Genomic DNA, 23,759 nt, shown 5'->3' with positions numbered 1-23,759 from the left:
ATGCCAACAATAATTTATAAAGGGACCTATCATGCCAATGTATTTTTACTTGTAAAGCAATGAATCATTGCATTATATCTGTTTCAAGCTAAATAGAGTCAATAACATGAAACAGGAATTTCAGTGGGATCTTTTATATCTCACTGACCAGCCACAAAATTCAAAGGAATCACAGTGTTCCTTATTATACACAAGTTACCTCCTATCACCCCCCAAAGATGAATCTTTCATCACATTTTCCTACCAGCATTCTATGTAATTTATTTTTAACCTCTTTGAGAGCAGAGGAGATTTAGTCATCATAAAATCTATTTTCAACTTATTATCCAGGAGTCAAATAAATAAAGAATTAACTTATGAAATCCAATCAAACAATGTCATGTAATGGGTCTACACATCAGAAGACACATCAGATGAAGGAAGGAGAATGAGAGCTGATTCACTTGGCTTAACCAAATTGGATAGCTCAGAATACAACAGGAAAAGGAAATGTTGCCTTTTCTATTTATAGAAATATTTACCAGATAAGGACAACTATCTAATTTACTAAAAAACAACTGATTCTCTATTAGTAATGTGCAAACCACAAGATTATTCACATTGTCATAGTGGTTCTCAGCAGGGTATAAAAAGCAAAAGAGAGAACAAGGAGAGATCAAACTCAGAACACTCACTCTCCTGGAAACCCACCGAGAACCTCCACCCTCTGACACCATGGTCAACTCCTGTTGTGGCTCTGTGTGCTCTGACCAGGGCTGTGGCCTGGAGAACTGCTGCCGCCCCAGCTGCTGCCAGACCACCTGCTGCAGGACCACCTGCTGCCGCCCCAGCTGCTGTGTGTCCAGCTGCTGCAGGCCCCAGTGCTGCCAGTCTGTGTGCTGTCAGCCCACCTGCTGCCGCCCCAGCTGCTGTCAGACCACCTGCTGTAGGACCACCTGCTGCCGCCCCAGCTGCTGTGTGTCCAGCTGCTGCAGACCCCAGTGCTGCCAGTCTGTGTGCTGCCAGCCCACCTGCTGCCGCCCCAGCTGCTGTCAGACCACCTGCTGCAGGACCACTTGCTGCCGCCCCAGCTGCTGTGTGTCCAGCTGCTGCAGACCCCAGTGCTGCCAGTCTGTGTGCTGCCAGCCCACCTGCTGCCGCCCCAGCTGCTGCATCTCCAGCAGCTGCTGCCCCTCTTGCTGTGAATCCAGCTGCTGCCGCCCCTGCTGCTGCCTGCGTCCAGTCTGTGGCCGAGTCTCCTGCCACACCACTTGCTATCGCCCAACCTGTGTCATCTCCACCTGCCCCCGCCCCTTGTGCTGTGCCTCCTCTTGCTGCTAAATCTCTGCTGTGAACACACCACTTCCTTATTACGTCCTTTCCTACAGATGAAGGCTCTCATTGCAAACATGCGGACTGTTCAAGAGAATTGATCTGGGTCCCATAAGCAAACCTCATCCTTAGAAATTCTGTATTTGCATTCTACCTTTTGTCCAAACTCCCTTCCTTCCAAAGGAATTCATTGACAATCTCCTAATAAATTGACAAATTGTCCTCCAACATCCTCCCACCTCTTTGACTTCAGGACATTTATTCATCATGCCTAAGGAATTTGAAGATTGCCTCCATCATTTGTAGGGCCACAGATCTTAAAGCCTCCAACCTTGAAGTCCAGTGAAGTCTCTCTCTTAAAGTCTTTTGCAAACATTTTTGTACCTTGTTATTTCCATGTACCAAAATAAACCTCTATTCTATTGGCACTGAAAATTGAATATGATTCTTATTCTCTTTTTAAAAAGGGTTTTATATTTAGGTCCTGGGTGATTACATTTAACTACACCTGTAGGGCTCACAGCACAGATTAGTCAACCTTCTAACAGAGGTCAACTGACATCGATCACTGCCTAGTTTTTTTCTAGAAAAGTCTTTTCAGGCTTAGGCAAATCAATTAGTCATTTTGTATTCTTTAGACAAAAAGAGTGAAGCTGAAGTCATGAAATATCCATGAATATAACAACAGGGGAAACGTTTTGAAAGATTGATCACAACTCATCATCTTTTAAAAAATAATTTCAACTTTTATTTTAGAATCAAAGAGTACATATTCGTATTTGTTACATGTTGTGTGATGCTGAGGTTTGGGCTACAAATGATTCTGTCACCAGGTACTGAGCAGTGGGTCATTTTTAGCCCTTCCTCTCTCCCTCTCTCCCCCCTTTTTGGAGTCCCCAATTGTTCTCATCTTTGTGTCCATGTGTATCCAATGTTTAGCTCCCATTTGTAAGTGACAACATGCAATATTTGGTTTTCTGTTCCTGGAAAAATTTGCTTAAGATAATGTCCTCCAGCCACATCCATGTTGCTGCAAAGGACAAAATTTCATTCTTTTTTATGGCTGTGTAGTATTCCATGGTGTGAAAATGTCACATGTTCTTTATCCAATGCACTGTTGATGGGCACCTAGACTGATTCCATGTCTTTACTATTGTGCACAGAGCTGTGATCTTTTAAAACACTGTATTTCAATTTCTTTTTTTTTCCAGTAAAAGCAGCTATTAGGTGGTTTAGCAAAGTCCATGTATTTTCTACTGAGTCATGTGTAATGAATCCTCAACACAAACACAGTGGATCTCCTTCATTCTGACTGGCAGAGTTTCAATGGGGAGTTCATGCTGCCATGTAGAGAGGGCCACCTTCACGGCCAGGCAGGTGATGGAAATGAAGGAAGCAGGCCTAGTGAAAACTCACAGGTATGCTGGAGACTGATTTTTTTTCTTTTCGTCCAAAGTCATGCCCTTTTTTTAGGATGAAACTATAAAGACCCACATTTCTCCCCAACTAGGGATGCCTCTAATGGGTCATCTCATCTCCAGAACTCCCTATAGGTTCATCTGAGACTTCCACGGAGATTGCCCTGCAGTTTGATTTATCCCAGTGTCAAACTTGATCTTTCTCTCACTTTCCCTTCCTTTCCCTTCCCTTCCCTTCCCTTCCCTTCCCTTCCCTTCCCTTCCCTTCCCTTCCCTTCCCTTTCCCTCCCCTTCCCCTTCCCTTTCCCTTTCCCCTCCCCTCCCTTTCCCCTCCCCTGCCCTCCCCAGTGTTAATCCCAAGAGCATGCTTCAATAAACCTCCTGCATATTGCTCTCCATCTCAGTGACTGCTTCCTGGGGAACCCAGCCTGTCCCCCAAAACAATTTGAAATTCATGATAGCTAATTTGAGAGCTCAAATGACTGACTGAAATGTACTTTTAATATTTTAGTTCCTGAAAGAAATAAGAATGTAAACATAATAGCAGAAAATATATTTAACAGAATATGTAGAAAAATTATGAATTTTATATAAATCACATTTATTATTTTCTAAGGATGTTTAGATCATTTATACACAAATATATGCTCTTTAAACATTTAGACAATACAAAAGAATGTGACAATGTGAACAAAAGTAAGTTTCCCATCATGATCTTTGCCAATCCCATTCAATACCTAATGTTGCAAATTGAGATACATCCTCATTAAATGCATGCATAAAACATGTATGTATTTATTTGAAAACTTGGCTTTCGTTGCACATCTCTTGTTCTGACATTTATTCAAACATTATTTTATGTCCTTCCGGAAATGTTAACATTTTCCTTCACAAAGGCTTGGCAGATTTATTTACATATTTTTCTATTTACTCTTGAGAACTGTGAGTACATGCTTCTTTTTTTTTTTATTATACTTTAAGTTCTAGGGTACATGTGCACAACGTGCAGGTTTGTTACATATGTATACATGTGCCATGTTGGTGTGCTGCACCCATTAACTCGTCATTTACATTAGGTATTTCTCCTAATGCTATCCCTCCTCCCTCCCCCCACCCCACGACAGGCCCCAGTGTGTGATTTTTCTCCATTAAATTTTAGAGAGAATTATTGCTAGTGTATAAAAAGTCTATGGATTAGTATAAGTTCATATTTTATCTGATCTCGCGATTCACACTAATACCCAGCTGACTCTACAGGATTTTACAGGTGTGCAATCATGGTGGCCAAGTGCCTCCAGCCTCAGGCTTGTCCCTGGGGTTCGTCCCCAGCTGCCCACAGTGGGGGCCTTACCATTAACACAAACACTGTTGGGATTTTCTACCTTTCCTGTCTTACTTTCACCGTTTCCTCACTTGTGCTTCCTGGGATCATCCCCCAAATAAATTATGTGCACTCAGGTCTTTTTCTCAAGGTTTGCATTGGGTAGAATTTAAGCTAAGACAACAGATTATCAGCAAACATTTTTGGCTGACTGATACGAAACAGGAAATAATAGTTATTTCAATCAACAAGAGTAAAACGAGGAAGTCAGGAGGTGAAGGAGAACCAGTGCTACCATCTGGCGTTTACTTCCTTCCTGTCTTTTTACTGTGTGAATATAGGCATGCACGTTCAACACTGTATTCTTGGTTATCTATAAACAAGTCTCATTCTATAAATTGAATCTTGACTTCCGCAGTTTCCACGTATGTTATTTATCGGGTGACATGTTACCTATCACACAAATGAGTTTAGTCTTCCTGAAATGAAATTATGATTTCTTTGTTTGGGATGTTTTCCTCCCTTTTATCCAGAAGTCAAAAGATATATACATTTTTTAAAGGACCTTACATGCCTCTATGTCATCAAAAAAACCTTCATTCACTCAACAAACATTTACCACCAGTGTTCTCTGTGCTGAGTATCATGGTAACGAGAATAAATGCCATAGCGCAAGCCTTCAGGGTATTTGCATTGCACGTGGTGGAAAGACAGAAGTAAATGACTATGATACAGGAGAATGTATAAATTATGAGCACAAGGCAGGAAATCATGATACATGAATGGGGTAGCTTAGCAGGAAAGATATTATTGAGGAGGAAATATTTTAACTGGGTCTTGACACATGAGTAGGAGTTTGCAGAGTGGACAAAAAAAGATGAAACATTCCAAGAAGATGAAGCAGTTTCAGCAAGCTTAGCAAATTGTATTCTTTACGGCTTTCTTGGCTACACTAAGACATATTAGGCTTACTTTCTCTTTAACCTTGGACAAGTTGTTTGTTTGTTTGTTTTAAGTTTTTAATGCTTCTTTTGAGTATTCCCCTAAAAGACTAATAAGAATATAAACTAGTTCATAAGGTTCTATTAAAGCGTGAAAATGAAACAAATGTAAGATATTTGGTACAATGCCTGCTACATAGTCAATACTTCACAAGTAATATACATACCATGAGGGTGTATGGAACTTATCCACATATTATACATTTCTTATTTTAGTTGTTTAATGAAAATAATTGTAATTCTTTTCATTTCTGCCAAACTGTTTCCTATCCATGTGTCTTATGCAAGTACCTGCAAGAAAAAGTTGAGGGTTTATCTGTTCTACACCCAGAGTACCCAATAGAACATCTTGGATGCATGTTATTGAAGGCTTAATAATTCTAAATATTCTTTATATATAACAAATGCTTTTGTAAATGAAAAATCCATCATGCAATTTTGATGATCAAAGATTAATCAGGCTGGGTGTTGGGGGCTCATGCCTGCAATCCCAACACTTTGGGAAGCCAAGGCAGGTGGATCACGGGGTCAAGAGATCGAGACCATCTTGGCCAACATGGTGAAACCCTGTCTCTACTAAAAATACAAAAGTAAGCTGGGTGTGATGGCGCAAACCACCTTACTCGGGAGGCTGAGGCAAAAGAATCGTTTGAACCCAGGAGGTGGAGGTTGCAGTGAGCAGAGATCATGCCACTGTACTCCAGCCTGGCGACAGATTGAGAATCTGTCAAAAAAAAAAAAAAAGATAAATCAAAACTTCCTACTCATAATGCATATACTGTAAGACATACAGCAAAATGTGTTTTTACCCTTTAAAGGCAGTGAGTCATGGGTAAGTACTTTCGCTGGAGGCTGTGGAATAAGATCTGACAGAGTTTAGAACTTCTTGGGATCTGACCATCTGCCCGACCATCCGAGATGCACACATGGGATCAGAGTCATCCTCATTACAGATGGGACATCCTTCCCCAAATGAGTGCTTCCTTCTAATTCCTTCCCAACATTTCACCTGACCAGGACATTCTTTGACAACAAAAGATACATTCACATTATAAAAATCATCCCCCATGATTTGCAGACAGCAATCTGCAGGTAGGAGGGAGAGTCACATTTAAAAACAAAATGTCAGAGAGTCCTGTGACCAGTGCTTTGTAAAAGACACTGCATAGACCAGGGACAAAGGTGACTCCCCACTAATGAAGAAATATGACATGCATTTCCAATGGAAACACAGGAGCACAGCAGGAAAAGGAAATGGGTTATTTTCTCTGTTTTGGAGTATTTAACTGGAAACACAATGATGTAATTACATGATTAATTTTTCCAGTAGGTAAATAATAACAAGGAAATAATGATGTGGTGGCAATGGGCCTTCAGGAGGGTATAAAGGGACTACAGGCCCAGGAGACTTCCAAACACAAGAACTTCACTCTCCTAGAAACCCAACTAGATCCTTCACCCTCTGACACCATGGTAAACTCCTGTTGTGGCTCCGTGTGCTCTCACCAAGGCTGTGGCCGAGACCTCTGCCAGGAGACCTGCTGCCGCCCCAGCTGCTGTGAGACCACCTGCTGCAGGACCACCTACTGTCGCCCCAGCTGCTGTGTGTCCAGCTGCTGCAGGCCCCAGTGCTGCCAGTCTGTGTGCTGCCAGCCCACCTGCTGCCGCCCCAGATGCTGCATCTCCAGCTGCTGTCGCCCCAGCTGCTGTGTGTCCAGCTGCTGCAAGCCCCAGTGCTGCCAGTCTATGTGCTGCCAGCCCACTTGCTGCCGCCCCAGATGCTGCATCTCCAGCTGCTGTCGCCCCAGCTGCTGTGTGTCCAGCTGCTGCAGACCCCAGTGCTGCCAGTCTGTGTGCTGCCAGCCCACCTGCTGCCACCCCAGCTGCAGCATCTCCAGCTGCTGCCGCCCCTCTTGCTGTGAATCCAGCTGCTGCCGCCCCTGCTGCTGCCTGCGTCCAGTCTGTGGCCGAGTCTCCTGCCACACCACTTGCTATCGCCCAACCTGTGTCATCTCCAGCTGCCCCCGCCCCTTGTGCTGTGCCTCCTCTTGCTGCTGAGCCCACTGCCCTGGCTCATCTCTCCCTTCACTGCAGGCCCACAGTTGTAGACCATTCTTCTGTGCTGACTATTAGGACACATGGAGTGGGATTGATGTCATTCAGCAGGGTGGACTTCATGTTTCCAATGAGCCCATCACCATCCCACTGACTCTGTGAGAACATTCTGGTTCATTTTAAACTCCCTCCCTTGCTTTCTTTCTCTTCCAGTCATGGCACCAAATATGAAATAATTTGTAATCCACTAGCTAAGAAATTATTCCAATCCTCTAAATTCCTCATTTTTTAAATCGTTTTGAGCCTACAGAATATCCTTCCCAGTGAGGTACACATTATCTCCATTTCAAACATATTATTTGTCTGTCAGCCTTTCAGTCATTCTTTTCTCTTGGAAAGGTAGGAGGCTGCCCCTCCCATGCTCTCCTGCTTTCTCCCTGTTCTCTCTTTGTCTCTGTTTGTTCAAGTTTGCCAGAATTTTTCTATTTTATTGGTTCTTTATCTTTATTGTGTTCACAAAATATATTGTATTAAACTTTTCATTTAGAAATCTTTTATTGTTTTTTGCATTTTTTTGTGATAATTTTCACTGAGTTTACTGATTCATGGGGGTGAGGTGGGAATGCAGTAGAAGGGGATTCTCAAAGCATGATTCCAAAGTAAGACTTCAGGGATGAACTCATAGTGCCAAACTGCTCCAATGTCACGCATAAACTAAAATAAAATAGAAGCTTTTGATTGTTTCAATTTGATATATGGAATGCTTTGGGATAGGTAAAGCCCCAGTATTGTTGTTTGTAAGTTCATCCATGATTTTAGAACTTATGATATCATGGTAATACTCCTCACTCTTCTGTGTCAAATTTAAAAGGCACATCTCATCCTACTGCATTCCATCTTGATTCAAATCAGTTAAGGCAGACTCCAAATGTTATATAAGGGAATTTTGTTATTTTGTTGTCGGTGGACCAGTTCAGGTTCTTGAATTTGCTGTGCAAAAGAATTTGAGAGCAAATCCAAAGTAAGAGTAAGCGAAGAAATTTGTTGCAAAGCAAAAGTACTCTTTGAGAGGCAGAGTGGGGTGCTCAGTGGGAGAGACAGCAGCTAGTGCTGTAAGAGGAATTCCTTTTATGGGAGCTATACGTACATAATCATAAAATACTGGTGAGGTCAAGTATGCAAAGGCAGACCTGCGGTTGGCACATGTGCTCAGGATCCACGTGGTCTAACACCCATCGCATGTATCATTAGCATATGAAATCTCCGCCTTGGGGTGTTTTTCTTGTTGTGGTTGTTTTTACTATTAAAATGAGGAAATGGTTACTATAAGCTGAACCTTGATCCTAGCTGTGCATGCAGGACCCCAGAGAAGTCCCTGCCCACCCTCCCAAACACCCCACCCCAGGAAGGAATTTGTAGTTAGGAGTTTCTTGGGCTTTTGGTGCAAATTGGCTAGAGATTGGGGAAGCTGCATCAGGAATAAAGGGCTTTTGCTCTCTTTCCCAGGTTGTACTAGGTATCAGGAACTTGTAACCCTCTGGTGGGTCTGCTTCGATTCTGTAGGACCCCTTATCTTGTGAAAGAGTTAGGCACTGATGCACAAAGGTTCAAGTGAAAAGAGCTTGCTGTGAAAGGATCCTGCTGGGCTTCACACAGGGGACAAGTCAGTATGGCCTTGTGAACCCCCAAAATCGGAGACAGGTCTCAGTTTATTTAGAAAGTTTATTTTGCCAAGGTTGGGGATGTACACCTGTGACACAGCCTCAGGAGGTTCTGAAGACATGTGCCCAAAGTGGTCAGAGCACAGCTTGGTTTTATACATTTTAGGGAGACATGAGACATCAATCAACATATGTAAGATGAACAGTGGTTCCGTCCGGAAAAGGCGGGACAAGTCTAAGCGGGGAGGGGCTTCCAGGTCATAGGTAGATAAGAGACAAATGGTTGCTTTCTTTAGAGTTTCTGATTAGCCTTTCCAAAGGAGGCAATCAGATATGCATTTAACTCAGTGAGCAGAGGGGTGACTGTGAATAGAATGGGAGGCAGGTTTGCCCTAAGCAGTTCCCAGCTTGACTTTCCCCTTTACCTTAGTGATTTCAGGGCCCCAAGGTTTATTTTCCTTTCAAATTTCCCCCCTTTTCTTAAAAATCTTTTTGAGAAAGCCTTTTTGAAGAAAGTCAGTCTTTGGTCTCAAGTTTCATCTGATATCTCATGGCTAGGATTGTTTATTCCTAGAAAGATAATTCCTGAGTTATTAGGAAAGTTCATTTTTAGCAGGTTGTGAAGTTTCATGTCCTATGAAGAGAAAATAGGGGGAGGAAGGGAGAAAAACAAAAATAAACAAAAGAACAATCCTGGAAAATCAATATGGGCCACATTACTCTGAAGTCCATACATCAGTAGGCAGGTATGAAAGTGGCTTATGTATGTAAACAGGTTGCTGGTATTTTCTTCTGAAGTTTAAATTCTCTAGCTCCAGTTCGCAGGGCTTTACAAAAGCACAGATGAGTTTTCAGTGACTCCAAATTAGGAAAAATGGGGGAAAGAAGAAGAAAAAAAAACTGAAAACAATCTTTTGAAGACCTGTAGCCAAGAAAAATTAGAATTCAGTGGAAACTGTAGAAAATAATAAAAATGGGAAAACATTAGGCAAGACTAGAATCTAACAACAGGTGTATTATCATTTTTTGAAACATAATTCTTCTCTCTCCCATTTCCCATTTTTACTAAAGACAAATCATGGCAGGGCTGATTTTCTTTATTATACTTGACCTGATTATTTGTATACAGCGCAGCCATAGTAATACTTTTTTTTTGCATAAGCTTTTAAATTGCCTTTGATGGAACTGAAGCAGGATGTTTCCCTGACCCCTTTGTGGGACTTGTGACGGGTGCCTCGTTTATTCAGCCTGCCACTCTCAACTCCTTGCAGGAGCGAGCATGCAAGCAAATGAGGCAGGAACTGGAGTGCACGTGTGCTGGAATCGGCACTGCAGCACGGTAGGATCAAACTTCACTCACTGGGACCTGCTGCAGTCCCCTGCTTGTGGGAGGAAGCATGCAGGTGAATCAGTGCAGGAGCCAAAGTGAGTGCTTTTGGCCACCGGCAGGAGCAAACTCTGTGTGGGCCCCACAGCAGCATCTAGGTGGGGGTGCCTGCGACCCCCATAGCCCCAGAGGGCATGTTACAGTGTTCTTTTAACTCTGCCTTCCATGGATGGCTTAAGTGTCAACAGCTCAGTGAGGCCTCTGCCTTTTTGTGTGAGGCAGCTGCCCTCCACCAGCAAGGGCAGAGGGCCAGTGTGACAGTCTTTTGTATCTGCTCTCCTGGCTCCCAAGCTCTTGTCTTGTGTCCAGGAAAAGTGAGGTCACATGAACCAATCAAAGGATGGTAAATGTGGGGGATTTTGTTGCTGATGAAAGTGGCTCTTAGCAGAAAGCGGAGCTGAAAAAGGATGGGGTGGGTAGGTAATCTTCCTCAAAGTTAGGCTGTATCCAGCTGGATTCTTCTCCAAGATTACACCATCAAGCTGTCCCTCTGAATCAAGCTGCTTCTCTCTGACGTCCAGCTGTAGTTCCCAATGTCCAGCTGCTTCTTGCCTCTGCCAGCTGAGTCTGGCATCTTCACAGGCATAGGATGGACAGGATGGAGCCATGAGTGGTTTAGAAAAAGGCAACTTTCAAGCAGGAAAACAGGGATATAAGTTCTCACTTTGGGCCGTGGTTTAAGGCTTTTCAGCTTGAAGGTGGGGTTTTGTCAGAGACCTACCCTTTTCTGCCTAGAATTTCTCAGCCCCCTGTCCCTATCAGAACTTTGTTCCATAGAAGGAATTTCGGATAAGACTTTTGGAAAGCTTAGCCTAGCCATGGATTTGTACCATCAAATACCTATGAGTTGCATGAATTCCTCTGCTCTTGAGGTTCCAAGATAAACTTGGGGCTCCTGGAACTGTTAGAAAGTGACATGCTTTACTTACCACAGGTCAGGAACCCTGTACAGGGACTGTGTAGATAAGGTATGAGGCCAGTTCTCCCAAGGGGCTTTTATTGGCTCCATAAGTCAAATTTGATTCCTTAAAGGAGAGCACACCATTCCAGTCAAAGCCTTGGTAAAATGACCAATTTCTCCAATTGTGTCTTGTTACACATGAAAACAGATTATTATTGCACTTATGCAAATAACTGTATTGCCATAAGTTAAGAATACTCACAGATAGTTTCCAATTCTGGGGAAAATCAGGTAGAGAGAAACAAATATGCTCCAAATATTTTTCACAGGAGTATACTAACTTGTTAAAAGCTGACAACAGCTCAAATAAAAGTTTCCTTGACTAAAAAAAGGAAAACAAGGAGCAGCAACATTTTAAGCAAAAAGTCAAAAAGATTACGTTGCTCTTCTATTAGTTCAGTTCATGCAGTTAATTCCTGTTCTGCTTGCTATTCATGAACATTTCAGGTCTCCATGAGTTCTGAAAGCTTTTCCTCCATTCTGATGTCACAGTCTCCAAAGTTATTAGAAACTTGCCTTCAAGAACACGTGTTAGAGTTTTATAGCTGATTATAAAACCATCTTCTAAAAAGGACTAAAACAAAACAATTGTCCATGGGTGACAAAAAGTTTTAGGTCAGCCATAATCAAAGACACAATTGACAAGAAAATTTGTTACCACTGTGGCACACGATAATTTTATATAACAATTATAATTATTAGTGATATTGTACACCATGTCATATCAGAATTATAGGAGTTTCCCATAATTTTGGTGCACATACCAATAACATTTTTATACAAATACAGCCCAAAGAAAACCAAACACCATTTTATATTTGACAATGCTTCCTGTATAATTTTTATACCAAATAAGTCATTTATTTCATTTTTGGACTTTAGGGAAACTAATATCTTAGAGGATTAATTAGGTCAGAAAAATACACAACTTGTAATTTGATTCTGGAAACTTTGCCAAATATCAAAAGTTTAAAATACTTGATAGGTCATCATAAAATAAGTCAATTTTTCAAACATTAAGCCCAAATAAAACAGCATAAAGCCAATTAAATTTGTTTTTTGAAATTTTATTATCAATCTTTAAAATTTTAATCTTGACCATAAGATACAGCTTCCATAAGCCTTTTTTAACCTTTATAACCTTTATTAAGGGGTCGGTTAACACTTCAAGAAAACCTTTTTAATCTGACGCAGGGGCCCGTATGCTGGTATTGCATCAGTGTGCCTTTGACATCAATTATTAACTTGCAGAGAAACTGAACTTATTTTGTCTCTCAAAATCAGCCCTTACAATCTCACATGCCTACCTCTTCTGTGGTAGTTCCTGAGCCTTGAGGAGTTGAATAGCTTTTACTTCTGGCCTTATGTCTCAGGAATGCAGTTTATTTTGATTGGCATCTTCTACCAGGCCTGAAGATGAGGTTTTAATTGCTGTCAGTGCTTAAGATTTAGCAGACCTTGGTGTCCTTTTTAGACCCAGGAGTCAAAGGCCTGTAACTTAATGTCACAGGTACTTTCAAAGCACCTACAGAAATATACATGGATGTAATAACCTTAATTTTAAAAAATTATCTCAGATACTTTTTCCTGAGCAAATCAAAAATTAATAATAACAGCATAGCATTGTTTCAATAAGCCATAAAATCTGTTAGGTCAATTACCCAAAGGCAAAAGAAAAGACCTTCTACACTGCACAGAATATTACTTTGGAAGAAAACATTTTCTTTAGACTTTTAGAAAACATTGTTAGCATCAGACCATAACAAATAGAATTTAAGGAAAATAACTTATATGAGCTGCAAACGAGTTGAAGGGGAGAGAAAACAGCGAGTAAACAGTTGAACTTTGGGTTAAAAAAATTAAAATCTCTTATAATTTAATAAGAGTAAATCAATCCCTTAAGAAAATTTCATCGCTCTAACTATTTTGTTTATCATTGCTTTTTTTTTTTTACATGAAGCCCAATCTTCAGGAAGACTATTATAATTTCCTTTTAATTACAGACAACTTGACCATATAAAAGTTTGTTGGTTTTTTTTTTAATCCTCTTATTATGACTTTTACAGACTGTTCATGATATGCTTGGACTTTCTGGTTTGTTTTGAACATCCATCTTTCTTAAACAATCATTTTATTTTAGGTCTAAATTTACCATACAAGATCTTTTCTCATATGAAATTATTTCTCTTTAAGCTTCCTTACCAAAAAGAACCCTCTTTATCCTCTTTATTTTTATACCTTTCTTTACATCTCTCTGATTTCCTGGTTCCTTTTAACTTGTCTTATACATAATCTTTAAATAAGCATTGAATTAGATGACAATTGTTCACCTTTTTAAAAAGGAATTGTTTACCTAGATTATTTATGAAAACTGCAATAGTCATCATTTAAAGTTATGGAACTGCCATTGCAAAATTATAACTGAGACAGTGAAAAAGATCTGACCTAATTGACTCCATCTTGCTTCTAACCTCCAAACTGTTCTTGTTCAATCCTGGGCACAGGCTGAACAGACGTTGAGAGGAACATAGTTTATAGTTTACCTTTGAAACAAAGATTATAACAGTTCATTCTCAAACTAAATCTTACTGCCTGTGGACTAGACCACCAAAACCACAAAATTAGAAGTTACAGTAATCTCACTAAATTCAAGATGTGACTATTTTTATTAAACCAATATCAATGTCTTATTTATTAAAGATTATACAAGCAAAGATCATTCTATTACAGTTTTGTAACTCCATGGCAAATTTTGACACCTTATGGTATTTGACAGGGATAAGCATGAAATTGCTTGATTAATAAATGCAAACAAAAATGCATGCTGGCAATTTTTAAGACATGTCTAATATTACTTTACCAATAATTTTAAAGCTAGCTTATTTATTAAAGATTTTACTTGTTACATAAACTTCAGAAAGCATTCAACTAGTCTTTTCTTTTTTCCTGATAAAGTATTAGATTCAAGTGCTTTTTATCTTAAGCCAATTAATTAGAACTCTTTTATATATTTTCAGTAGCGAGAAATTGTGTACACATCACATAAATATATAGACATAGTAGGCATGCTGATAGAAGTACATCGTATAGATACTTAAGGAGCTTTTTTCCCCTATCTTAGGCTTTCAAATTCTTAATAACCTGTTTTACTCCCCTAGGGAGTTGTCAGCTAAATAGCCTTAAGTTTGCATGTTAAAGGAAACAACTCAGGCAAAAATCAAATAGCAAAATTATATCATAAGGTACAGAGAGAAAAAGTCTGGTGGTGCTAGAGGGAAGTCAAAATGGATTTAATTGCCAATTAAACATAAAATTATAAAAATTATAAAGGCCTTTTAAATAGATACACACACACACACACACACACACACAAACACACACACAGAAATCCTATAGCTTTTACTTCAGAACTTTAGCCATGAGACAAATACAAATTCACCAGGTTGCAAACAAAAAGCCTGTTGTATCCAAACAGTGGTTTTGATCTTAATAGAAAAATAACAGCAGATTTAAAGCAGGCAGAAAAGAAAATAGAGAAAAAAGAGAACTTAGGAACTCTGTAGTTTGTAGGTTGACCTTAAGGCTCTTCTTTTCTTTCTTTTTCTTTTCTTTCTTTCTTTCTTTCTTTCTTTCTTTCTTTCTTTCTTTCTTTCTTTCTTTCTTTCTTGCTTGCTTGCTTTCTTGCTTGCTTGCTTTCTTTCCTTCTTTTCTTTCTCTTCTAAAAAAAAATGAAATACACATGCAGGAGAACGTGCAGGTTTGTTACATAGGTATATGTGTGCCTTGGTGGTTTGCTGCACCTATTGACCCATCCTCTAAATTCCCTCCTCTCATTCCCCACCCCCCAACAGCCCCTGATATGTGTTGCTCTCCTCTCTGTGTCCATGTGTTCTCAAAGTTCAACTCCCATATATGAGTGAGAACATGTTGTATTTGGTATTCTGTTTCTGTGTTAGTTTGCTGAGGATGATGGTTTCCAGCTTCATCCATGTCCCTACAAAGGACATGATCTCACTCCGTTTTATGGCTGCATCGTATTCCATGGTGTATATGTACCACATTTTCTTTATCAAGTCTATAATTGATGGGCGTTTGGGTTAGTTCCATGTCTTTGCTCTTGTAAATAGTGCTGCAATAAACATACATGTGCCTGTGTCTTTATAGTAGAATGATTTGTATTCCTTTGGGTATATAACAAGTAATGGGATTGCTGGATCAAATGGTATTTCTGATTCTAGATCCTTGAGGAATCACCATACTGTCTTCCACAATGGTTGAACTAATTTACATGGGCCCTTTCTTTCTTAATGTAAATATGCACAAAGACCATATTACTTCCATTTTACTTAAACTCTGGCAAGTACAGGTGCCATAAAACCTATGGAGTGCTTGAAAGGGAATCATTCTCTTTGCTTTCTCCTCATTCTTAGATTATTTGTTTCCCAGTTTTCTTCTTAAAAAGAGGAACTGAGCTGAGGCCTAGAGGTTTTCTGTGGTGGATCAATATGTGCCATTTGTGGGCAGGACTCCACAGTGGGTCACCACTGAAAACAACAGTTCAGTTCCTCATGCAAATGCACACAGACAAGCTGAATTGAGCTTAATTTGGGGAGAAAAAGCAACAGAGAAGATCCTTTAGAATGCATTTGTGAACTAGAATTAGGATCTTTAAACGACAAATTCCTAGAAGGAAAACAAAACAACAGCCAAGACCACTTTTTGTAAACCTTGCTCAGCCACCCCTTAACTTTGTAGCTCTCATCTACCACTATACACAACAAGGTCAAAGCCAAAGAGGTCAGGTCATGCAATACAGGAAAATAGAGGTTTAGAGTTAAGAAGAATCTACCCATGACTCTTGAAACTCCACAAAGAAAACAAAACACCCCAAAAGGGGTGAGTGGCAACCTTTGTTCTGAATTCTTTAAGGGGGTTCAAGTCATTAGAAGCCTTCTCTAGACTTTTTGGTACTGCATATGGCAAAGGGGGAGGAGGTATATGGTGCAAGAAAAGTAAACGAAAGAACATTCGTGTTTTAAGACAGGAAGCAAACACAGAAACCAAGTGCATGGGTTTTTGGTTCTTTTTGTTTGTTTTCTTCTTTTGCAGCTGCAATGAATTTTAGCCAAATTAGAGAGGTTTTGTTACCCGTAATTTTGAATTCTCACTTGGATTTGACCAAGTCAGGTAGAGTTGGTCAAGTCTGATGGGAGAAAGACCAAAACAAACAACAAAATCTCCAACCATAGGATTACCAAGCACTCTAATGATAAGGAGAAATTAAGAGCAGCTAGCTGGTTGTTAAACTTTAGCCCAGACAAAGCCCCAGTTCAGCTACTTACCTAGGGATGGGTCTCAGGCTGAAGGCTGCTTTCTACCACCCTAGAAGCAGGAAAAAAACTCAAACTGGTCTTCCCTGCTGGGAGTGAGCTCAAACTCTACATGCCTTTCATCATCATGGAAGCAGGAAATCTTGCCTTCCTTGTAAAGGAAGTAAAAGTAAATCTTGCCTTCCTTATAAGGAAGGCAAGTAAGCAAGTAAAACTCCAAAAACAAAAATAGGTGGGGCAGTTGTACAGCAAAATGAACTTTAGTTCTTCACCAAATTTGGGGAGATCAGGGATTCTTTGGGGAGGGTGCTCCCAGACCTCAGCAAATTGTCCTATTGATTTGAGCCATAAAGTTAGCTCATGCTATTACCAGGCACCAACAGGATATTCGTCAAAGGTCAAGGGCATCTCCACTCAGAATCCTTTCACAGTTACCAAAATGTTAACCCAGAAAATCTGAGACAGGTCTCAGTTAATTGAGAAAGTTTATTTTGCTAAGGTTGAGGATGCTCCGGTGACACAGCCTCAGGAAGTCCTGATGACATGTGTGTAAGGTGGTCAGATAACACTTTTGTTTTATACATTTTAGGGAGACATGAGATATCAATCAACATATGTAAGATGAACACGGATTTGGTCCAGAAAAGGCAAGACAACTCGAAGCAAAGGCGGGACAACTCGAAGCTGGGAGGGGGCTTCCAGATCATAGGTATATAAGAGACAAATGGTTGCCTTCTTTTGAGTTTCTGATTAGCCTTTCCCAAGGAGGCAATCAGTGCATTTATCTCAGTGAGCAGAGGGGTGACTTTGAATAGAATGAGAGGCAAGTTTGTCCTAAGCAGTTCCGAGTTTGCCTTTTCCCTTTAGCTTAGTGATTTGGGGGCCCCAATATTTATTTTACTTTCACAGCCTCCTAACCTTATTTATCCTGCCTCATGTTTAAGAAGGCATCATAACTCTATGACTGAGATCTGGACAACATTTTTCTTAAGGCATCTGAAAAAATATGAAGCTTATTTTTCATATTTGAACATATCTGAACAAATCATCTTAAACTTGATTGGCTCAATAGCTTAAGGCCATTTCAGAGCTGATAATAGTCAAATAAAAGTAAAAACATCAAGAGCAGGTGCTCCTACTAGAATGCCAAGTTATAGTCACTTACCATATTCTTTCAGATTCAAATGAAGGCACCTCTCTTGGAAATTCTAATTAGGATATGCACCCCAGCTGCGACCTACTCAAGACTGAACTAATTCCAATAAAATAATTCTTAAAAAGAAAAGCGAGCCTTGAAATTTTCATCCTTTCTGGGTTTATATATATTAAAATGTTAAGTGTGGAGTTGTTTAAATTATAATGTAAACCCGTAGAGACCACAGTCAGCAATATACCATGCTATCCAGATGAACTACAGCTCAATATGCTTTTTTGTCTCAGCAGAACTCACTGGGAAATAAAGCCCACTTTTTGATTATAAATTCCAAAATGTTGTTATTGAGTAAAATGAATTCAGTACATGAAATTCTTTATAGAAGATTTCCCTTCTTTCATTGGTGTCTAATTTTCAGAAATTTGGTTTTATCTTTTTTGTCAAAACAGGGACGATAGTATTATGAGATATAATGTGTTAAAGATAAAATGTGTTTCAAGAGCTAAGGTATGAATTAAAACTGTCTTAATTTAGGATATTAAGACACATGTGCACACACACACACACACATACACACACATATACACACAGCACTTCTATTCCAATACCGTAAATTATCTATATTCGATATAGCATGTATTTTCAAAGTGATTTCAACACGGGTTGCTTTTCCTGCGTCTTTGTGTAAAATATAATTGTCAGGGAATCAGTAAAATAATTATGAAAGCAATAGAGAATGATACCAATGAATTCTTATGTACAGAAATTTTATTAAAAAGCAGAGATGCAACAAAGCATAAGAAATTCACACTAGGAGAAACACAGAATATAACTGGGCGGCTGGATCTGAGGGTGCAACCTCAGTGACAAAACTGGTCCTGCAGATAATGTCTGCCTCACTGAGAAGAAGATCTGTACCTCAAAGTGATAAAGAAAATGAGGAAATTAGAGGATTGGAATAATTTCTAGCTAGTGGATTACAAATTAATTCACATTTGGTGCCACCACCGGAAGAAAAAGAAAGCAAGGGAGGGAGTTTAAAATGAATCAGAATGTTCTCAAAGAGTCAGTGAAATGGTGATGGGCTCATTGGAAACATGAGTTCCATTCTATTGAATGACATCAACCCCACTTCCTGTATCCTAATGGTCAGCACAGTAGAAGGGTCTACATCTGTGGGCCAGTGGTGAAGGGGGAGATAAGCCAGGGCAGTGGGCTCAGCAGCAAGAGGAGGCACAGCACAAGGGGCGGGGGCAGCTGGAGATGACACAGGTTGGGCGATAGCAAGTGGTGTGGCAGGAGACTCGGCCACAGACTGGACGCACGCAGCAGCAGGGGCGGCAGCAGCTGGATTCACAGCAAGAGGGGCGGCAGCAGCTGGAGATGCTGCAGCTGGGGCGGCAGCAGTTGGGCTGGCAGCACACAGACTGGCAGCACTGGGGCTTGCAGCAGCTGGACACACAGCAGCTGGGGCGACAGCAGCTGGAGATGCAGCACCTAGGGTGGCAGCAGGTCGTCTCACAGCAGCTGGGGCGACAGCAAGTGGGTTGGCAGCACGCAGGCTGGCAGCACTGGGGCCTGCAGCAGCTGGACACACAACAGCTGGGGCGGTAGCAGGTGGTCCTGCAACAGGTGGTCTGACAGCAGCTGGGGCGGGAACAAGTGGGTTGGCAGCACACAGACTGGCAGCACTGGGGCCTGCAGCAGCTGGATACACAACAGCTGGGGCGGCAGCAGGTGGTCCTGCAGCAGGTGGTCTCACAGCAGCTGGGGCGGCAGCAGGTCTCCTGACAGAGGTCTTGGCCGCAGCCCTGGTCAGAGCACACGGAGCCACAACAGGAGCTGACCATGGTGTCAGAACGGGGAGGATCTGGGTGGGCTTCCAAGAGAGTGAAGTTCTTGGGTTTGGAAGTCTTCTGGGTCCATAGCCACCTTTATACCCTGCTGAAGGCCCATTGCCACCACGTCATTATTTCCTTATTATTTACCTCGTGGAAAACTTAATCATGTAATTACATAATTGTGTGCTTCTACTTAAATACTCCAAAAGAGAGAAAATAACCCATTTCCTTTTCCTGCTGTGCTCCTGTGTTTCTATTGGAAACACTTGTCATATTTCTTCCTTAGTGGGGGTCACCTTTGTCCCTGGTCTCTGCAGTGTCTTTTACAAAGCACTGGTCACATGACTCTGACACTTTATTTCTAAATGTGATTCTCCCCCCTACCTGTAGATTGCTCTCTGCAAATCATGGGGGACAATTTTTATAATGTGAATGTGTCTTTTGTTGTCAAATAATGTCCTGGTCAGATGAAATGTTGGAAAGGAATTAGAAGGAAGGACTCATTCGGGAGAAGGATGTCCCATCTATAATGAAGATGACTCTGATTCCGTGTATGCTTCTTGAATAGTTGGGGAGATGGTCAGATCTCAAGGAAGTTATAAACTCTGTGTCAGATCTCATTCCACCACTCCAAGTGAAAGTACTTAGCCATGACTCATTGCCTTTAATGAGTAAAAACACATTTTTCTGTATGTCTTACAGTATAGGCATTTGGAGTAGGAAGTTTTGATTTACCTTTGATCATCAAAACTGCATGATGGATTTTCATTGACAAAAGCATTTGTTATATGTAAACAATATTTAGAATTATTAAGCCTTCAATAATATGCATCCAAGACATTCTATTGGGTACTCTGGGTATAGAACAGATAAACCCTCCTCATTTTCCTGCAGGTACTTGTATAAGACACATGCATAAGAAACAGAATTTGGCAAAAATGAAAAGAATTACAATTATGTTCATTAAACAACTAAAATAAAAATGTATAGTATGTGGATAATTTCCACACACCCTCAGTGTATATATATATTACTTGTGAAGTATTGACTATGTACCAGACATTGTGCTAAATATCTTTTTCATTTTCACTCTTTAATACAACCTTAAAAAGTAGGTACATTCTTATTACTCTTTTAGCAGAATACTCAAAAGAAGCATTAAAAAGCTAAAACAAACAAACAAAATACTTGTCCAAGATTAAAGAGAAAGTAAGCCTAATATGTCTTAGTGTAGCCAAGAAAGCGATAAAGAATACAATTTGCTAAGCTTGCTGAGACTGCTTCATCTTCTTGGAATGTTTCATCTTTTTTTGTCCACTCTGCAAACTCCTACTCATGTGTCAAAACCCAGTTAAAATATTTCCTTCTCAATAATATATTTCCTAATAAGCTACCCCATTCATCTATTATTATTTCCTGTCTTGTGCTCATAATTTGATACATTCTACTGTATCATAGACATTTACTTCTTTCATTCCCCCATATACAGTGCAAATACCCTGAATGCATGGGCTATGATGTTTCTTTTTGTTACCATGATACTCAGGACAGAGAACACTGGTGATAAATGTTTCTTGAGTGAATGAAGGCTTTTTGATGACATAGAAGCATGTAAGGTCCTTTAAAAGTGTATATATCTTTTGACTTCTGGATAAAAGAGAGGAAAACATTCCAAACAAGGGGATCAGAGTTTCATTTCAGGAAAACTACACTTATTTCTATGGTAAGTAACATGTCCCCTGATAAATAACATATGTGGAAAGTTGTGGAAGTTAGGATTCTGTTTATAGAATGAGACTTGGTTATAGATAACCAGGAATACCGTGTCTTCCCACTGTGGAAGGAAAAAGAGAGGGTGAGACAGAGAAAGAGGGAGTCAAACTCATCCTTTTATAAGGAACCCTCTTTTGTGATAACAGCATTAATCCACTCATGAGGGTGGTGTCACCATGACCCAAACATCTCCTGTTAGGCCCAACCTCCCAACACTGCGGCATTGAGGATCAAGTTTCCAACACATGAACTTTGAGGGACACATTCAAACCATTGCATTCCACCCTTGGTCCCCCAAATCCATGTCCTTCTCGTACACAAAATATATTCATTTTATTCCAATAGTCCCAAAGTATTAACTTGTTCCAGCACCAACTTAAAAGTCAAAATGTAAATCTAAGAGTCTCATGTGACTCTGATATGAATAAGACTCAACACAGGACTTATCCTGAGGCAAATTCTCCTCCATATGTGAACCTATTAAAGAAGTTATCTAGTTCCAAAATCCAATGGTGGGAGAGGCATAGGATAGACAGGCCCATTCCAAAAGGCAGCAACAGGAAAGAAAAAAGGGTAACTGGCCCCAGGTGAGTCCAACAGGGAAGACAGCATTAAATCTTAAGACTGGAGAATAAACTTCGACTCCATGTGCTGTCTCCTGGATGTGCCCGACATGGGGAAGGGCTGCCTGGGGCCTTGGTGTTAGGCCCCAAATGCCCTCAGATAGCCCTGCCCCATGGCTTTGCTGGGCTCAGCCCATACAGCAGCTATCTGATTGGAGTCTCTGCTGCAGCTCTCTCAGGCTAGTATTGCAGGCTGATAGTTCTACAGTTCTAGGGTCTCAGTGGCTGCTCTGACCCCCCGTTTTCCTGAGCATGGCCCTAGGAGGACCTCTCTGCTGTGGCTACACCCCTAAGGCAGGCTGTCAGAAACATCCTTTCAAACCTAGGTGGACCACCATTGCCCCACAACTCCTGCAGTCTGTGTATCTACAGTCAGTACTACATGAACACCACCAAGGCTCACAGTTTGTGGCCTCTGCAGCAGCAGCGCAAGTCTCATCTAAACCCACTTGAGCCACAACTGGAGCAGCAAAGGGGCACTGTGCTAGAATGTGGAGAGTACCAAACCCTTTCTGACCTTAAGATTCTCTCATTTGGAGCCTGTGATGGGAGGGACAGCTTCAAAGATCTTTGAAATGCCTTCAGAGCCATTCTCCCACTGATTTGATGAACAGCACCTAGCTTCCTTCTATTCATATCAATCCTTGTAACAAAGCATTACTTGGCCACAATCTTGCATGCTTTTTCATTCTTTATATGGTCAGTCTCCACATTTTCCACATCTTTATGTTCTGTTTCCCTTTTAATTATGAATTCCACCTTTAAATCATTTCTTTCCTCTTGCATTTTACTATGTGCAGTTCAAAGATGCCATGCAGCCCCAGTGCTTCCAGTCTGTGTGCTGCCAGCCCACCCAACTGCTGTCACCCCAGCTGTTGTCAGACCACCTGCTGCAGAACCACCTCCTGCTCCCACAGCTGCTCTGTGTCCAGCTGCTGCAGACCCCAGTGCTGCCATTCCGTGTGCTGCCAGCCCACCTGCTGCCGCCCCAGCTGCTGTCAGACCACCTGCTGCAGGACGACCTGCTGCCACCCCAGCTGCTGTGTGTCCAGCTGCTGCAGACCCCAGTGCTGCCATTCCGTGTGCTTCCAGCCCACCTGCTGCCACCCCAGCTGCTGCATCTCCAGCAGCTGCTGCCCCTCTTGCTGTGAATCGAGCTGCTGCTGCCCCTGCTGCTGCCTGCGTCCAGTCTGTGGTCGAGTCTCCTGCCACGTCACTTGCTATCACCCAACCTGTGTCATCTCCACCTGCCCCCACCCCTTGTGCTGTGCCTCCCCTCCCCTTCCCCTCCCCTTCCCTTCCCCACCCGTTCCCCTCCCTTTCTTCCTTTCCCTTGCCCTCCCCTCCCCTCCCCGCCCTTCCCCTCCCCTCCTCTCCCCAGTGTTAATCCCCTCCCCTTCCCCTTCCCCTTCTCTCCCTTCACTTTCCCCTCCCCTCCCCTCCCCTCCCCTCCCCTCCCCTCATTTCCCCAGTGTTAATCCCAAGAGCATGCTTCAATAAACCTCCTGCATATTGCTCTCCATCTCAGTGTCTGCTTCCTGGGGAACCCAGCCTGTCCCCCAAAACAATTTGAAATTCATGATAGCTAATTTGAGAGCTCAAATGACTGACTGAAATGTACTTTTAATATTTTAGTTCCTGAAAGAAATAAGAATGTAAACATAATAGCAGAAAACATACTTAACAGAATCTGTAGAAAAAATTATGAATTTTATATAAATCAAATTTATTATTTTCTAAGGATTTTTATATCATTTATACACAAATATATGCTCTTTAAACATTTAGACAATACAAAAGAATGCAACCAAAGGTAAGTTTCCCATCACGGTCTTTGCCAATCCCATTCAATACCTAATGTTACAAATTGAGATACATCCTCATTAAATGCATGCATAACACATGTATGTATTTATTTGAAAAC

General features: G+C 41.2%; 4 protein-coding genes and 1 long non-coding RNA gene across 5 annotated transcripts, besides 1 other annotated feature; 3 read left to right on the top strand and 2 right to left on the bottom strand.

Annotated features, from left to right (window-relative positions):
* The first annotated feature begins 654 nt into the window (after positions 1-654).
* On the top strand, positions 655-1,746 carry KRTAP4-12 (keratin associated protein 4-12). Its single transcript, NM_031854.3, has one exon. It carries the CDS (start codon positions 715-717, stop codon positions 1,318-1,320), a length of 606 nt encoding a protein of 201 aa, NP_114060.1. The 5' UTR covers positions 655-714; the 3' UTR covers positions 1,321-1,746.
* Positions 975-1,528: an enhancer, noted in NCBI's record as "H3K27ac-H3K4me1 hESC enhancer chr17:39279561-39280114 (GRCh37/hg19 assembly coordinates)". NCBI's record gives its function as "activates a minimal SCP1, AML or CMV promoter by ChIP-STARR-seq in naive H9 embryonic stem cells {active_cell/tissue: H9 hESC(naive)}" and the evidence as "EXISTENCE:reporter gene assay evidence [ECO:0000049][PMID:30033119]".
* Positions 1,747-6,463: 4,717 nt separating the features above from the next.
* KRTAP4-11 (keratin associated protein 4-11) lies at positions 6,464-7,656 on the top strand. The gene has a single exon (NM_033059.4). It carries the CDS (start codon positions 6,522-6,524, stop codon positions 7,107-7,109), a length of 588 nt encoding a protein of 195 aa, NP_149048.2. The 5' UTR covers positions 6,464-6,521; the 3' UTR covers positions 7,110-7,656.
* Positions 7,657-12,166: 4,510 nt separating this feature from the next.
* Positions 12,167-16,605, bottom strand: LOC124904002 (uncharacterized). The gene is made up of 2 exons (XR_007065754.1): positions 16,458-16,605; positions 12,167-14,833 (listed from the first exon to the last, which is right to left on the bottom strand). It is a non-coding gene; the product is annotated as an uncharacterized LOC124904002 (long non-coding RNA).
* A 1,743-nt stretch (positions 16,606-18,348) lies between these two features.
* On the bottom strand, positions 18,349-19,448 carry KRTAP4-9 (keratin associated protein 4-9). The gene has a single exon (NM_001146041.1). The coding sequence runs from the start codon at positions 19,446-19,448 to the stop codon at positions 18,816-18,818; it is 633 nt and encodes a 210-aa protein (NP_001139513.1). The 3' UTR covers positions 18,349-18,815.
* Positions 19,449-22,627: 3,179 nt separating this feature from the next.
* On the top strand, positions 22,628-23,335 carry KRTAP4-16 (keratin associated protein 4-16). Its single transcript, NM_001396067.1, has one exon. It carries the CDS (start codon positions 22,628-22,630, stop codon positions 23,333-23,335), a length of 708 nt encoding a protein of 235 aa, NP_001382996.1.
* Positions 23,336-23,759: the final 424 nt, after the last annotated feature.

This window comes from Homo sapiens, chromosome 17 (genome assembly GCF_000001405.40).
Source record: "Homo sapiens chromosome 17, GRCh38.p14 Primary Assembly".
In the NCBI taxonomy this organism is placed as follows: domain Eukaryota; kingdom Metazoa; phylum Chordata; class Mammalia; order Primates; family Hominidae; genus Homo; species Homo sapiens.
Note: the sequence above shows the minus strand (reverse complement) of the source record. Positions and strands in the feature narration are given on the sequence as shown.